Below are 18,485 nucleotides of genomic sequence, written 5' to 3' on the forward strand. Positions count from 1 at the left end.
TAGCTTTACAACTTACTAAGTAAATTTGAAAAACTCACTTAATGTCATTAGGCTTCAGTTTCTGTAGCTATAAAAAGAGAATAATAAAAATGCTACCTCACTGAGTTGTTGGGATTTATGATGAACTCTAAACTTCAAAATGTTACATAAAAATATTAATCTATTATTATTCTCAGCAAGGACATTTCACATTTAATATTGTCTTTAGCCAATCTTAATAGTATTAGCTAAGAACTTTAACGCATATTACAGATTATCAAGATGCTGATAAATAATGGAAGTATCTGGCAAAAATTAATAAGTAGTCATTAGCTCCAGTCAGTAGCAGCCTGTGACAGATTCCAAGAACTGATCTCACGATTGTCAGTTTAATAATAATAGTCCATCTCACAAGAAAGCGTGTCAGGTCTACTGTAATTCATGCTTCAGAAAAAAGTATTTCCTATGGAGTTGGGCTCATGAACAAATACACCAGCTAAAGAATGGATCAATAGTGAAAGATGAGCTTCTCCAATTCACTCACAATTACGCTTGAGTCAATAGACTAATGTAAATCAATAATTTGTTATATTTGCTACATTTACAGACTTTGATCTTTAATATAAACCTGGCAATAAAACAACATACATTTCTTTTCCTATGTTCTACAGTAATCTGATCATGAATATGGTAAAGGAAAAAAATTATTTTCTCTCTCATCTGTGTAATAAATCTAAACCAAATTGTTCAGTAACCTCTTTCAGGTATATCCTTCTAGTAACTGTCTTCATAAGCATATTTTTTAAAAACAAGTAAAAGTGAGATATATAACAGGTAATTATTAATCACAAGTAATTTTGAGTTATATAGTTTTCCTAGGTATTCCTATACTAGCCTATATAGCTATGTGTGTGTGTGTGTCTGTTTGTGTAGCCATATATATACACATTCATCTCATATACACATATATACATACATACACATACATATGTGTGTATATGTACACACACACCTATATATATATAAAATTCCACACTTCCTCTATTGTATTATAATGATGTGGTGTTTACCTGTAAGCTCTCCTAGAAAGACAGCTGTTTGAAGCCATGGCCAATGTCTTTTAAATCTGTACCCTCAGCACCTAGTGCAGTATTTCAACGTAATAGGCATTTAGTGAGTGCTTGCTAAATAAACTGCACAGTCTTTTGCCAACATAACATTTTTCTGATGCCCGACTCACATTACCCAACAGCCAACTTTTGAGGTTGTCCATTCCCAGCTCTGAAGAAGATATGCTCTTAATAAAAAACACTTTCTTGATATAATGTCAGTAATTTGCTTAAAAAAAAATCCAGTGGGAGTGGGTACAGAGATTTAGCGGTGAAATAAGACTGTCTATGAGCTATAATTTAAACAATTTTTGATATAGGTTCATTATACAATTCTTTTTTTATATATATTTGAAATTTTTCATAAGTATTTTTTCTTAACTGGAAAAAAGTTTTAAAAGTTTAAAACTTTAGGCCGGGTGCCGTGACTCACGCTTGTAATCCCAAGCACTTTGGGAGGCCGAGGTGGGCGGATCACAAGGTCAGGATATTGAGACCATCCTGGCTAACACGGTGAAACCCCGTCTCTATTAAAAATACAAAAAAAGTAGCCAGGCATGGTGGCACATGCCTGTAATCCCAGCTACTCGGGAGGGTGAGGCAGGAGAACTGCTTGAATCCAGGAGGCGGAGCTTGCAGTGAGCCGAGATCGTGCCACTGCACTCCAGCCTGGGCAACAGAGCGAGACTCCGTCTCAAAAAAAAAAAAAAAAAAAAAAGTTTAAAACTTTAGAAGCTTCTCTTGCAAGATGGCCGATTAGAAGCAGCTGCGCTCTGCGGCACTCCGAAAGGAATGAAAGTGGCGAGTGAGTTCAGCACCTTCAGCTGAAATATCCAGGTCCTCACAGTGGAACTGTCTAGGCAACAACAACTTGATCCAAGGAGGACCACAGAAAGCAGAGTGGGGTGACAGCCCACCCAGGAATGGCACAGAGCCAAAGGAACCCCCACCCCCAGCCAAGGGAAGTAGTGAGGGAACCACACTTCTCCCATGAATCTTTGCAACCCGCAGATCAGGAGATTGCCTCAGGAGCTCAGGATACCAGGGCCTTGGGTCCAATACACAGAGCTATGTGAAGTATCTGCAGAGCAGCCACTCAGGCACACAGAGAAACCCAGAAGTTTTACCTACTTCAGCCCCAGAATCCCCCGCAAGGCAGAAGATCCAACCATGCATACCCCTAGGAACTGGGGCTGAATTTAGGGAGCCAAGCAGTGTCACTCTGCAGGCCCCACTTCCACGGCACGTCACTGGAAGCCAGTTAAGACCCACTGGCTTGGAATTCCAGCCGCCAAACAGCAACAGGCTGGAGTCGGCCTGAGTTGGAACGGAGTTCCCGGGGAAGAAGGGTGGCCACCGTCTCCGTGGTTCAGTAGATTCAGCTGTTCCAGCCGGCTGGCTTTGGAGAATACAAACAGTCCGAACAAGGAAGGGTCCCCCACAGTGCAGCCCAGCTGCCTTGCCAGATCGTGGCCAGACTGCTTCCTTAAGGGGACCTCAACCCATTCTTCCTCACTGGGCGGGACCTTCCTGCGGTGGCTTCAGCCACTCCAGCCAGGGTTCTAAAGACAGAGTCCTGATCTCTCCCTGGGACAGAGCTCCTGTGGGGAGAAGCAGCCACCATCTCTGCAGTTCAGCAGACTCGGCCGTTCCAGCCTGCCAGCTTTGGAGAACACAGACGGTCTGGATGAGGAAGGATCCCCCACAACACAGCACAGCTGCCTTGTCAGGTCATGGCCAGACTGCTTCTTTAATTGCGACCCTGACCCATTCCCCCTCACAGGCAGGACCTCCCTGCAGGGGTTTCAGTCACTCCAGCAAGGGTTCTACAGACAGTACTCTGATCTCTCCCTGGGACAGAGCTCCCGGGGGGAGGGGTGGCTGCCATCTCAGTGGTTCGGTAGACTCAGCTGTTCCGGTCTACCAGCTTTGGAGAACACGAACATTCTGGACAAGGAAAGGTCCCCCGAATGCAGCACACCTGCTCTACCAAAAAGTAGCCAGACTGCTTCTTTAAGCAGTTCTCTGATCCCATTCCTCCTGACTAGGTGAGACCTCCCAACAGGGGTCTCCAGTCACCTCCTACAGGCATGTTCGGGCCAGCAACAGATTAGTAATCCCCTGGGACAGAGCATTCAGAAGAAGGAGCAGGCTGCCATCTTTGCTGTTTCACAGCCTTCACTGGTGATACCTCCAGGCATGGGAAAAGCCCAGGCAACTAGGGTCTGGAGCAGACCCCCAGCAAACTGCAGCAGCCCTAAAGAAGAGTGGTCTATCTGTTAAAAGAAAAACAAACAGAAAACAACAACATCAACAAAACAGACCCCACAAAAAATCCATTCAAAGGTCAGCAACCTCAAAAATTGAAAGTAGATAAACCCACAAAGATGAGAAAGAATCAACACAAAAATACTGAAAACTCAAAAAGCCAGAGTGCCTCTTCTCCTCAAATGACCCCAACACCTCTCCAGCAAGGGCACAGAACTGGGGTGAGGCTGAGATGGCTGAAATGACAGAAGTAGACTTCAGAAGGTGGGTAATGACAACCTTTGCTGAGCTAAAGGAGCATGTTGTAACCCAATGCAAAGAAGCTAACAATCATGATAAAATACAGGAGCTGATAGCCAGAATAGCCAGTTTAGAGAGAAACATAACCAACCTGATGGAGTGAGCTGAAAAACAAAACATGAAAACCTCACAATGCCATCACAAGTAACAACAGCAGAATAGACCAAGCCGAGGAAAGACTCTCAGAGCTTGAAGCTATCTTTCGGAAATAAGACAGGCAGACAAGAACAGAGAAAAAAGAATAAAAAGGAACAAAACCTCAAAGAAATATGATATTATGTAAAGAGACTGAACCTATGACTGACTGGGGTTCCTGAAAGAGACAGGGAGAATGGAACCAAGTTGGAAAACATACTTCAAAATATCATCCAGGAGAACTTCCCCAACCTAGCAAGACAGGCCAACATTCAAATTCAGGAAATGCAAGAAACCCAGTAAAATACTCCACAAGAAGACCAACCCCAAGACATATAATCATCAGATTCTCACAGGTCAAAATGAAAGAAAAAATGTTAAGGGCAGCTAAAGAGAAAGGCCAGGTCACCTACAAAGGGAAGCCTATCAGACTAATAGCAGACCTGTTAGTGTAAACCCTATAAGCCAGAAGAGAGTGGGGGCCAGTATTCAACATTCTTAAAGAAAAGAATTTCCAACCCAAAATTTCATACCTGGCCAAACTAAGCTTCATAAGTGAAGGAGAAATAAGATTCTTTTCAGACAAGCAAATGCTGAGGGAATTCGTCACCACCAGGCCTGCCTTGCAAGAGCTCCTGAAGGAAGCACTAAATATGGAAAGGAAAACCACTACCAGCCACTACAAAAACACACTGAAGTACATAGACCAGTGACACTATGAAGCAATCACATAAACAGGTCTGCAAAATAACCAGCTAGCATCATGATGCCAGGATGAAATTCACACATAACAATACTAAACTTAAATGTAAATGGCCTAAATGCACCAATTAAAAGACACAGATGGAAAGCTAGATAAAGAGCCAACACCCATCAGTATGCTGTCTTCACATCTCACATGCAAAGACAAACATAGTCTCAAAATAAAGAGATGGAGGAAAATTTACCAAGCAAATGCAAAACAGAAAAAAAAAAGGGTCTCAATCCTGGTTTCTGACAAAACACACTTTATTTATTTATTTAGTTTTATTTTATTTTATTGAGATGGAGTTTCTTCTTGCCCTGGCTGGAGTGCAATGGCAGGATGTCAGCTCACTGCAACCTCTGCCTCCCGGGTTCAAGAGCTTCCCCTATCTCAGCCTCCTGAGTACCTGGGATTACAGGCACCTGCCAAGATGCCCGGCTAATTTTTTGTATTTTTAGTAGAGACGGGGTTTCACCATGTTGGCGAGGATGGTCTCAAACTCCTGACCTTAGGTGATCCACCCACCTCAGCCTCCCAAAGTGCTGGGATTACAGGCGTGAGCCACCATGCCCAGCCCACAAAACACACTTTAAACCAACAATGATCAAAAAAAAGACTAAGAAGGGCATTACATAATGGTAAAGGGTTCAATTCAACAAGAAGAGCTAACTATCCTAAATACATATGCACCAATACAGGAGTATCCAGATTCATAAAGCAAGTTCTTAGAGACTTACAAAGAGACTTAGACTTTAGACTCCCACATAAAAATAGTGGGAGACTTTAACACCCCACTGACAATATTAGATCATCGAGACGGAAAATTAACAAAAATATTCAGGACCTGAACTCAGTTCTGGATCAAGTGGACCTGATAGAGATCTACAGAACTCTCCACCTAAGCCAGGCACCGTGGCTCATGCCTGTAATCCCAGCATTTTGGGAGGCCAGGTGGGCAGATCACTTAAAGCCAGGAGTTCGAGACCAGCCTAGCCAACACAGCGAAACCGCATCTCTACTAAAAATACAAAAATTAGCTGAGCACAGTGGCATGTGCCTGTAATCCCAGCTACTAAGGAGGCTGAGGCAGGAGAATTGCTTAAACACAGGAGACGGAGGTTGCAGTGAGCTGAGATTGCACCACTGCACTCTAGCCTGGGCAACAAAGTGAGATTCTGCCTTCAAAAAAAAAAAAAAAAATACTCTCTACCCAGAAACAACAGAATATACATTCTTCCCATCACCATATTGCACTTACTCTAAAATTGATCACATAATTGGATTTAAAACAGTCTTCAGCAAATGCAAAAGAACTCAAATCATAACAGTCTCTCAGACCACAGTGCAATCAAATCAGAACTCAAGAAATTCACTCATAACCATACAACTACACAGAAATTGAACAACCTGCTCCTGAATGACTCTTGGATAAATAATGAAACTAAGAAAGAAATCAAGAAGTTCTTTGAAACTACTGAGAACAAAGAGACAATGTACCAGAATCTCTGGGATGCAGTTAAAGCGGTGTTAAGAGGGAAATGTATAGTATTACATGCCCAAATCAAAAAGCTAGAAAGATCTCAAGTCAATAACCTAACATCTCAACTAAAAGAACTAGAGAACCAAGAGCAAACAAACCCCAGAGCTAGCAGAGGACAAGAAATAACTAAGATCAGAGTGGAACTAAAGGAGATGGAGACACGAAAAGCCCTTCAAAAAACAATCAATGAATTCACAAGCTGTTTTTTTTTAAATAATAAAATAGATGACCGAAAGCTAGATTAATAAAAGAGAGAAGAATCAAATAAACACAATAAAAAAATGATAAGGGGGATATCACCACTGACCCCTCAGAAATACAAACAACCATCAGAGAATGCTACAAACATTTCTATGCACATAAACTAGAAAATCTATTAGAAGAAATGGATAAATTCCTGGACACATGCACTCTCCAAAAACTGAACCAGGAAGAAATTGGATCCCTGAATAGACAAATAACAAGTTCTGAAATTGAGGCAGAAATAAATAGCCTACCAACCAAAAAAAGCCCATGACCAGACAGATCCACAGGCTGAATTCCACCAGAGGTACAAAGAAGACCTGGTGCTATTTCTACTGAAACTATTCCAAAAAATTAAAAAGGAGGGACTCCTCCCCAACTCATTCTATGAGGCCAGCATCATCCTAATAACAAAACCTGGCAGAGATACAAAACATCAAGTCAATATCCTGATGAACATCAATGCAAAAATCCTCAATAAAATACTGGCAAACCGAATCCAGCAGCACATCACAAAGCTTATCAACCACAATGAAGTTGGCTTCATCCCTGGGATGCAAGGTTGGTTCAACATACACAAATCAATAAATGTGATTCATCACATAAACAGAACTGAAGACAAAAACCACATGATTATCTCAATAGATGCAGAAAAGGCCTTCGATAAAATTCAACATCCCTTCATGTTAAAAACTCTCAATAAACTAGGTATTAAAGGAACATACCTCAAAATAGTAATAGCCATCTATGACAAACCCACAACCAATATCATACTGAATGGGCAAAGGCTGGAAGCATTCCCTTGAAAACCAGCAGAAGACAAGGATGCCCCCTCTCCAACATAGTATTGGAAGTTCTCGCGAGGGCAATAGAGCAAGAGAAAGAAATAAAGCATATTCAAATAGGAAGAGAAGAAGTCAAATTATCTTCGTTTGCAGATGACATGATCCTGTATCTAGAAAACCCCACTGTCTCAGCCCAAAAGCTTCCTAAGCTAAAAAACAACTTCCACAAAGTCTCAGAATACAAAATCAATGTGCAAAAATCACTAGCATTCCTATACACCAATAACAGGCAAGCAGAAAGACCAATCATGAATGAACCCCCATTCACAACTGCTACAAAGAGAATAAAATACCTAGGAATACAGCTAACAAGAGAGGCGAAGGACCTCTTCAGAAAGAACTACAAATCACTGCTCAAAGAAATCAGAGAGGACACAAAAAAATGGGAAAACATTTCATGCTCATGGATAGGAATAATCAATACTCATGAAAATGGCCATACTGCCCAAAGTAATTTATAGATTCAATGGTATTCCTATCAAACTACCACGGACATTATTCACAGAATTAGGAAAAACTATTTTAAAATTCATATGGAACCAAAAGGGAGCCCAAATAGCCAAGACAAGCCTAAACAAAAAGAACAAAGCTGGAAGCATCATGCTACCCAACTTCAAACTATACTACAAGGCTACAGTAACTAAAACAGCATGGTACTGGTACAAAAACAGACACATAGACCAATGGAACAGAATACAGAACTCAGAAATAAGCCTGCACACCTACAACCATCTGATCTTTTACAAACCTGACAAAAACAAGCAATGAGGAAAGGATTCCCTATTTAATAAATGGTGCTGGGAGAAATGGCTAGCCATATGCAGAAAATTAAAACTGGACCCCTTCCTTACACCATATACAAAAATCAACTCAAGATGGATTAAACACTTAAATGTAAAACCCAAAACTATCCTGGCCGGGCACAGTGGCTCAAGCACTATAGGAGGCTGAGGCAGGTGGATCACGAGGTCAGGAGTTCAAGACCAGCCTGGCAAACATGGTGAAACCCCGTCTCTACTAAAAATACAAAAATTAGCCAGGCATGGTAGCACACACCTGTAATCCTAGCTACTCAGGAGGATGAAGCAGGAGAATTGTTTGAACTCAGGAGGTGGAGGTTGCAGTGAGCTGAGATCATGCCACTGCACTCCAGCCTAGGTGATATAGTGAGACTCCGTCTCAGAAAAAAGAAAAAAAAAAAACACCAAACCTCTAAAACCCCTAGAAGAAAATCTATGCAATACCATAATTCAAGACATAGGCATGGGCAAAGATTTTATGACAAAAACACCAAAAGCAATTCCAAGTTTAATTAATTAATTAAACTAAAGAGCTTCTTCACAGCAAAAGAATCTATCATCGGAGTGAACGGAAAACCTACAGAATGGGAGAAAATTTTTGCAGTCTATCCATCTGACGAAGGTCTAATATCCAGAGTCTACAAGGAACTTAAATTACAAAAAAAAAACAAACAAACCCATTAAAAAGTGAGCAAAGGACATGGACAGACACTTCTCAAAAGAAGACATACATGAGGCCAACGAACATATGAAAAAAAGCTCAACATCACAGATCATTAGAGATATGCAAATCAAAACCACAACGAGATATCATATCACACCAGTCAGAATGGCTATTATAAAACAGTCAAAAAACAGCAGAGAAAAAGGAACACTTTTACACTGTTGGTAGAGTGTAAATTAGTTCAACCATTATGGAAGACGGTGTGGCAATTCCTCAAAGACCTAGAGGCAGAAATACCATTTGACTCAGCAATCTCATTACTGGGTACATACCCAAAGGAATATAAACCATTCTATTATAAAGATACATGTATGTATATGTTCACTGCAGCATTATTCGCAATAGCAAAGACAAGGAATCAACCTATATGCCCACCAATGATAGACTAGATAAAGAAAATGTGGTACATGTACACCATGGAATACTATGCAGCCATAAAAAGGAATAAAATAATGTCCTTTGCAGGGACACAGATGGAGTTGGAAAGCATTATCCTCAGCAAACTAATGCAGGAACAGAAAACCAAACACTGCACATCTCACTTGTAAGTGGGAGCTGAATGGTGAGAATACATGGACACACGGTGGGGAACAACACACACTGGGGCCTGTCAAGGCTGGGGGACAGCATCAGGAAGAAAAGCTAACAGATGCTGGGCTTAATACCTAGGTGAAGGGGTGATCTGTGCAGCAAAGAACCACGGCGCATTTTTACCTATATAACACCTGCACATCCTGCACGTGTACCCCTGAACTTCAAATAAAAGTTGAAGGAAGAAGAAAAAAAGAGAAAGTTATCTTTTGAATATTTTAACCTGGATTTTTTTTTTTTTTTTTTTTGAGACAGTCTTGCTCTACTGCCCAGGCTGGAGTACAATGGTGTAAACGTAGCTCACTGTAAACTCAAAAGCTCCTGGATCAGGCGATCCTCTCACCTCAGCTTCCCAAAGCACTTGGATTACAGAAGCATGAGCCACCATGCCTGGTCTGGAAATTTTTTAATACTCATACTGTAAGTAGTGCTTATTAACCAGCCCATACTTTGAATTTTTAATGAACAGTCTGGAAGATATTAGCTCTTGCTTTATACCTATACGAGTCATGCCCAAATGCAGAATGAAAAGAGCCAACGTAAGAGTTAATGTGTCATAGTGATAGCTTCAGCCACCTCACTATTTACTTCTACCCACTGCATCCTTGGTTAAAATTTTAGGAGCTGAAATGGAAGTGGTATATTGACTTTTTCTAATCCAAAAAGCAGTATTTCCTTTACAAAACAAAAACTCCTTCCTTAGGGCCAGGCTCAATGGCTCACACCAGCAGTAATCCCAGCACTTGGAAGGCTGAGGCAGGAGAAGCACTTGAGCCCAAGAATTCGAGGCTGCATAAGCTATGATGGCACCACTGCACTCCAGCCTGGGGAATAGAATGATACCTGTCTCTAAATTTTAAAAAGTTTGTTTAATTAAAAAATTCATTCCCCATTAAAAAGGAGATTTCTAAAAACATTTTACTGACAGGAAAACATCAAGTTACATTATTAAGTAAAAATAGCTGAGAAAAGTTAAAGAGTATTTCCAAATTTTGTAAAAATAAAAATATACATATATCTATACAGACATATATGTTTCTTATATGTATATATGTGTATATGTATATTAAAAATCTAAAATGAAATATCAAAATGTTAACAGAATTGCTATAACAATATAGTTTATTATTTATATTTGTATTTCTAATGTCCTATTATGAAGGGCAAATATTGCTTTTATTTTTAAAAAATTACTTAAAATCATACTGTTATAACAGGCAGTCTTTGTACAAAATACAAAAGAGATTAAGATTTAAGATAGCATCTATTCAAGCTTAAGAAAATACCATTTGATTTTTAGTAAGGACACTGATTTGCTAATAAAAATTTAAGAGTAAAATAACTGGCTACTTCACCTTTTTATATCTCCATGTATTCTTCTACTCTATCTTATATGTCATAAATTTCTAACAGGAATCAATTGCCTTATTTATTTGCCATATCTATTAGTGTAGCATTAGAGCATGTCTTAAATAATAGTAATGAGAATAATTAAAACACAACAATTATATTCTTTCTGATATATTAGTAAGTGTTACAATGATTAGCAGTACGAGTCTCTCTGATAAAACCCAACTCTACTGGGAAAGAGAACAATTTGGCAAGTTAGCTAAATCAATTAATCATTTCCATCTGCTGCAAACCATGCACACTAAAATATTCTCCCAGCTTTACTTTAATGGAGAAAATGGAACTTTCATTTGGTGTTCATATCATATCAAGAAAGAACATGCTGAATAAGGCCTTCTGAATAGACTACTTTTGAGAGCCAACAAAAGGCCGGAAGCTGGAGAATTAAGAAGAGAAAACCTTACACGGAGTGTTCACTCTTGGCAGCTACTGGTGATCTGATCAGGCTCAGGACAGAACATTCTTGTTTTACTTCTCTATATTTTCATAAAAATGATTTTTCCATTCCAACACTTACACATGCCTGTGCGCAGCAGAGAGAATAGCATTCACTGACTCTCAATACATATGGTATGCATTCAGTGACATCACTTACCACTACATTTGCCAAGTTGAACCTTTCCTATAGACCACCAAAACACTGTTTCACAGTCTCTGTGGGGCTAAAAGAGTAGTTCCAAAGCAATAGGTCAGTCTTGCAGAATAGAGAGGTTATTAATGTTTCATCCCATATATACCATACCCTCCCTATCCCCTAATAAATAAAAATCTTTGTAATCCTGTAATGTATTCAGCTTTTATTAACTCTTTCACTGCTGTTTTGAATAACGAAGTGAATACACACTTGATGGCTCTCGTTGCTACAGTGCTCTGGCAGGTGCTGTTTACTTCTTTTTATAGAAGAGATTACAGAGTGAATTTTTATTATGGAGATGTATGAAAATTACTATGCAAGTTGTAAATAATAATTCATGTAACTAATATTTTAAATCAATTATGAAATAAAAATCAAAGCAATTTTTCTATTAAAGAAAAGCTTTCAATAATGTTGTTTTTTCTAATTTAAAGTTAAACATCCAATTTAAAATATTTAAAAATTACTATATGGTGGATTCTATGATCTTCCAAATAGTAAAAAACCTTCATAATTATTTTCAAAGAGGTATTAAAGGCTCTCCTCAATTATTTTTTAAAGCAGTGAAAAATTGGAGGAAAAAGCAACATTACTCACATCAAATTATTTTTTTTCCATTGGTCTATAATATAAAACCACACGTGGGCATATAGGAAAACCAAAATTAAAAGATATTGCAGAAAGGGCTCTGGTGGGGTCTTGCTTCACAGCATGCTGTTTGCTAAAGTAGTTTAGCAAATAGCAGAGCTCTCGAGCACAAACTGTTCAGGGTTTTAAGGTAAATGTCAAGAAATCTAATCTTTGGGCAATGCAACAGAGTAGAGCACTCACTTTGAAGGGGCTCAGCATCTCTTCATTTAGCCCTTCTCACATGAGGGTGGGATACCAGCTAGCCACTATACATGGCATATGCAGTGGGGTCTGAAATTTTACAAATTACAAAATAAGTCAGGTATCATATAACTTAATACATCTTTTTATAAAAATGGATAGTAATAATTGCCATTTACAAAACATTATGTTAAATACCATAAATGTATAAAATTTTCAAAAAATTTCAGTGAGTTCAGCCGGGTGCGGTAGCTCATGCCTGTAATCTCAGCACTTTGGAGCCTGAGGTGGGCAAATCACCTGAGGTCAGAAGTTCAAGACCAGCCTGGCCAACATGGCGAAACACCGTCTCTACTAAAAAATACAAAAATTAACCGGGCGTGGTCGTGTGCACCTGTAATCCCAGCTTCTCAGGAGGCTGAGGCAGGAGAATCATTTGAACCCAGGAGGCGGAGGTTGCAGTGAGCTGAGATCTGCCATTACACTCCAGCCTGGGTGACAAGAGCGAAACTCCATCTCAAAAAAAAAAAAAAGCTGAGTGAATTCATGTGATTTGGAAAATAAATGATTTTATTATCCATATTTTAACATTTTTAAATAGTAAACTAATATGGTAATGCTATGAATTTTCTGAGGCATGAGATTATCTACTAGACATTGTGATGCTTCTTAAGAATTAAGTATTTCAAAAACAAAATCTATCTAAAAATGTAAAACACAAGAATAATTCTGAAAAATCAATTCAATTGTAAAATAGGTGCCACGCTTTAGGATAATATAATGGTTTTCAGGTGTTATTAAGAATACTCATCATTGAGTTCATGTCCTTTGCAGGGACATGGATGAAGCTGGAAACCATCATTCTCAGCAAACTATCACAAGGACAGAAAACCAAACACCGCACGTTTTCACTCATAGGTAGGAACTGAACAATGAGATAATTTGGACACAGGGCGGGGAACATCACACACTGGGGCCTGTCAGGGGGTGGGGGGCTTGGGGAGGGATAGCATTAGGAGAAATATCTAACGTAAATGATTAGTCGATGGGTGCAGCAAACCAACATGGCACATGTATACCTACGTATCAAACCTGCACGTTGTGCACATGTACCCTAGAACTTAAAGTATAATAAAAAAAAAACAAGAATACTCATCATCACAAAAAATAATAAGCATGTGAAGTAACAGATATGTTAATCAGCTTGATTTAGCTACTTCACAATGTATTCATATACATACGTGAAAACATTATGTTGTACACCATAAACAGATAAAATTTTCACTTGCCAGTCGAAAGTATGTAATAAATAAATGATACTCACTACAACTTACTATTCTGTAGTGAGTAAATAATACTCATTATAACTCCTGTTATACTTGAGGAACTTAGACTCAGAGACAATACTCTCTTACCCAGGGTTGCACAGTTAGTAAATCGCAGAGCTAGGTTTTCAAACCAAGTGTTTCCAAATCTAAAGCCCACCAGCTTTCCTCTATATCAGACTGATCAAATTGAAAAAGACTTACAATAAAGGTATAAAGCTCAAGTTAGAGCATGGGTGAGAACATGTGGTGTTTGGTTTTCTGTCCTTGTGATAGTTTGCTGAGAATGATGGTTTCCAGCTTCATCCATGTCCCTGCAAAGTTAAAGCTAGAGATAAAATTGTTAGAGCTAAAGATAAAACTGTCTTTCCAAAGATAAAAATTAGTAAGTCCTAAATACTAAAAAAATCAAGTTGCTGAAGAGTATCTTCCAGTCAGCTTTTGCCCAACTATAGGCTACACAGAGCATCATTAAAGATTTGGCATACCCAGCATTATTAGGAATCTAAAGAGGAAAAGAAAAATCTTTACAAAAGATAGTCAGGTACTCCCCTTCACCCTCAAAAAAAGGAATGCAGACAGAAAACTCTAGGCAGATCCTAGGAAGACAGAATTATGGCCAGCGAACTTCCAATTAATTCAGTATACAAGCCAATGGCAAGGCTATTTTCGTGGTAAGAAAACTTTTAAGCTACAGAATGTCTCAGTCTTCAGACTTCAAGAATTTCTGTTCCCGATGGAGTCCTACAATTCATCCCAACTGAAAAAACTTCATAAAGTCATTTAAATTTCTTGAATATGTTTACTAAGTACTTATTAAAGCAACATTCTGACTATTCTAATTAGGGCTGTAGGGTGAAAATATTTACAACTCTTTACATCAATACTTCATAATATATTAAACGCAAACACATTCAAAGTGATTATTAAGCAATTTTTCTCTTGTCCGAAGTTTTAATTTTTTTAACATTTTTAAAATTTTTATTTTATTTATTGTATTTTTTTTTACACTCAAGGTCCCACTATGTTGCCCAAGCTAGACTCAAACAATTCTCCTACCTTAACCCAAGTAGCTGGGATTACAGGTGTGCATCTTTTTTCTGCAGTTTTTAGAGAGGGTTTTTCAAATGTTTATTAAGCATCAATGGCATATCTACTATAAATACTAGATATATCATGCTCAGCAATTCTTAGCAGAAATCTTAAAATGTTCCTATCATTGGCTTTCTCTGCACAAAAACTTCAGATTCATGAAGACTGCTTTAGTGTTGAGCTGCATGGGGTTTGGAGAACTGAGATGTTATCTGGTTTGTTTATATTAACAAATACCTATTCTCAAATCACAGATGATAGACTTAAATTTTTGAAAATGAGTATACAAAGGCCAGGCATGGTGGCTCGCATCTGTAATCCCAGCGCTTTGGGAGGCCCAGACACGAGGATTGCTTGAGGACAGAAGTTCAAGAACAGCCTGGGCAACATGGCAGGGCCTCATCTCTATGAAAAATACAAAAATCAGCCAGGGATGGTGGCACACACCTGTAGTCTCAGCTACTCAGGAAGCTGAAGCAGGAGGATCCCTCAAGCAGTGAGGTTACAACGAACTATGATTCACCACTGCACTACAGCCTACGTGACAGAGTAAGACCCTGTCTCTATTTTTTAAAAAAAGAATTACTATATAAGGCTAAATAAGTATAAACACATACAAAGAATTAGTATCTAAGATTAAATAAGTGTAAGCACACAGACAAACTTATGTGGAAGTAACATGTTTGGCAGAATTCATCTATCAATTAGGAAGATAGTAAAAAGACAGAATTCATCTATCAATTACGAAAGTAGTAAAAAGGTCTTCATGACTAATATGCTGTACTCAATACAGTCTCCTAGGCCATCATTCAGGGACTAAAAATTTTAAATGATGAAAAAAATTAAAGACTATAGTATAGTACATAGAAGATTCTGTTTTTCTTGTCAACTGTGTTGACAGGCTGTGCATGTGCATTGGGCAAGTCACTTAATTTTTCTGGACCTCAATTTCTAGCCACCCTCTGAAATCCTAAGACAGTATTCTTATTTTTTAAGATAATTTTTACAACCTTGGTTATGAAGTTTTCTAAGCAATAGCAGATCAGAAATAGTCAAAGAGAGCAGGGAGAAGTGTAGCAGGAAGCAAGCCATTGATAATATACTAAGCGGAAGGTAACAAAGAAGATGACTGAAAATTTTTAACAATCAGATCCAGGAACCCTCACAGTAACCTGGGTCCATTAGGAATAGAAGAACATACCTCTTCTATCTATGGATAATTCAAAGGTCTTATTTCTCTTCTGGCACTTCAATTTTGCTTTGGTCATTTTACTGAACTGGAGGATGAAGAAAAACAAACAAGACATGAAACTATGCCCCTAAAGAGTTAAAGACACCAATGACTAACAAATGGTTTGCAGGATGGCAGATAAAAAAATAAACAACTTGCTGAAATGCCGAAACTCTCTCTACTTATAAGATAAAACTGGCTGAAATCAGTTGAAACCAATATGGCCAACTGGAGTTTGCACAGAAATAACTTGCGGACATCACGGTGTTCATTTCTACCAGATGTTTCATACTAACTCTCCCCCAATTTGCACATGGGACCCATGAGGAGGCATGAAGAGGTAACTGTGCATGCCTGAGGACTTTACCAGACCTCCCCTTTCCTTTCACCAATCACCTGCTAATCTCAGCATCTACCCCTCAACCTTTTCTTATAAAATTACTGCCTTAAAGTCAGCATGAGGAAACACATTTGAGCTGGACTCCTGCCTCCTTGTTAGTCAACTTGCAATATAAAGCTTTTCTTTTCTCAAAACTTGGTGTCACAGCATTGGTCTCTAGTGCATTGGGCAGCAAGCCCCCTTCTCTTTGGCTGAATAACACACACAAGTAAAATGTAACACATTCAAGTGTTGACAGTTAAAGCAAAACACAACACAATTTGTGAGCTTTACATTCTACTTAAGACAAAGTAAAGAGAAAGAGAGAGAGTCCTTTGAGTATATCTGTAAATAATACACTATTTTACAGTTCTAATATTTCATAGTAGGCAATAAGACAAATTGATTTACACAAAAGCCAGTTTCTATAGTTCCAAATGGATGCAGATGGGAAAAAATACTAGATGTGGTCTCATACAATCTCGGTTTGAGTCCCAACTTTACCCAAAAGCAGCAAATAGAAGACAGAAGGCAATAGTCTTTCCTAACTCAACTCTTAATTGAAGATAATAATGCTTATCCTTACAAAATTGAAAGGACCTAATGAACTAACATCTGGGAAGTGCTTTATAAGTCTGTAAAAGCCTTTCATAAACTAATGTCTCATGTACACATCTTATGAATCTCCAAAACTGTCCCCTCTTACAGTGAATAACTGGAGATCAACTGCATATGTATGAATAAGCTATAAAATCTAGTGAGTTCCTCTGACCAACACTCAACTCACTCAAAGGCAAAAGCAGCAAGATCATCCAGTTAGGTCAAACTACTGATTTCAGGTAGGATAGAATCATCTGTGGCAGACCAACTCACCTATCAAAACTATCCTCCACAGCCTGGGCACCATCAAGTGACCTTGTCTCTACAAAAAGTAAATGAACAAATAAACAAAAAATCAGCCAGGCATGGTGGCATGTGCCTGTGGTCCCTGCTACTCAGGGGGCTAAAGTGAGAGGATTGCTTAAGCCCAGTAGTTCAAGGCTGCAGTGAGATATGATCACACCACTGCATTCCAGCCTGGGCAATAGAGTAAGACCCTATCTAAAAAACAAAACAGGGCCTGGCAAGGTAGCACACGCTTGTAATCCCAGCAGTTTGGGAGGCTGAGGCGGGCAGATCACTTGAAGTCAGGATTTCAAGACCAGCCTGGCCAACATGGTAAAACCCCGTCTCTACTAAAAATACAAAAATTAGCCAGGCGTAGTGGCACGTGCCTGTAGTCCCAGCTACTTGGGAGCCTGAGGCAGGAGAATCACTTGAACCTGGCAGGCGGAGGTTGCAGTGAGCCAAAATGTGCCGCTGCACTCCAGCCTGGGTGACAGGGCAAGACTCTATCTCGAACAAAACAAAACAAAACAAATTCCTCCAAAAATCCAAATAATATATATGTTAAAACTATGTTGAGGCAAGGGGCAGTGGCTCATGCCTATAATCCAGGGATTTGGGAGGCCAAGGCGAGAGGATAGCTTGAGGCCAGGAATCCAGGACCAACCTGCACAACATAGCAAGATCCTATCTCTACCAAAAAAAAAAAATTAAAAAAAATTAACTGGGCATGGTAGTGTACACCCGCAGTCCCAGCTATTAGGAGGCCAAGGCGAGAGAATCACTTAAGCCCAGGACTTTGAGGTTATGATGAGCCGTGACCAAGCCTCTGCACTTCAGTCTGGGTGACAGAGGGAGACCCTATCTCTTACATTAAAAAAAAAGCCTATCTGTGTAAAGGTGTTAGAAAGAGCTGATTAAGCAGCTACGATTAGAAAAGCCAAGATTGCAGAGAGGAGAAAACAAAAGAGCTGAGCAGATATTCTGCTGCTCCTCTTTCTCTTGGGGCATTGCTGATTCTGGGAAAAGGTCAAGAGGCTGAGAATCCATCTAGGCTCTCCCCCAGCCGTAAGATTGCTTCTGGAAAACATAAAACAAGCAGAGCTTTGGTTGTCTCTTGGGGATAGTAAGACAAAATTAGAAACTTGAGGGGCCAAGATCCCAGAGAGTAGAGAGAGGTAAAGAACAAAGCCTGACATACAGCCAGCTTTTCCCTCAAGATATCTGTCAAATTGTGCAGGATAGGAGGCTGAGCAGGAAATCTTTGAAAAGCAAGACATTTTTAGCAGCCTCAGAATGCTGAGGAGACGGGAATTGGAATTCAGAACCCATTAGGGCTAGAGCCCTGGTGAACACCCAGAGCTCTTTATGGAAAGCTCTACAAGCTAGTCCTTAGCTCAAGGCTCTGATTGGATTAAA

General features: G+C 39.3%; 1 protein-coding gene and 1 long non-coding RNA gene across 13 annotated transcripts in view; both read right to left on the reverse strand.

Moving 5' to 3' along the window:
• The window catches only part of TTC28 (tetratricopeptide repeat domain 28), a 701,827-nt gene that overhangs the window by 525,459 nt on the left and 157,883 nt on the right, over positions 1-18,485 (reverse strand). The window lies entirely within an intron of this gene.
• The window catches only part of LOC101929594 (uncharacterized), a 51,240-nt gene continuing 42,880 nt past the window's right edge, over positions 10,126-18,485 (reverse strand). For 2 of the 4 annotated variants that reach the window (XR_007068041.1, XR_007068043.1), the window contains exons 2-3: positions 13,684-15,848; positions 10,126-12,244 (exon numbers count right to left, since the gene is read on the reverse strand). This is a non-coding gene — a long non-coding RNA (uncharacterized LOC101929594). Of the gene's footprint in view, positions 12,245-13,683; positions 17,169-18,485 lie in introns of those variants that run through there. The other 2 variants (XR_007068044.1, XR_007068042.1) reach the window with 2 other exon arrangements.

Source organism: Homo sapiens, chromosome 22 (genome assembly GCF_000001405.40).
Source record: "Homo sapiens chromosome 22, GRCh38.p14 Primary Assembly".
Taxonomy (NCBI): domain Eukaryota; kingdom Metazoa; phylum Chordata; class Mammalia; order Primates; family Hominidae; genus Homo; species Homo sapiens.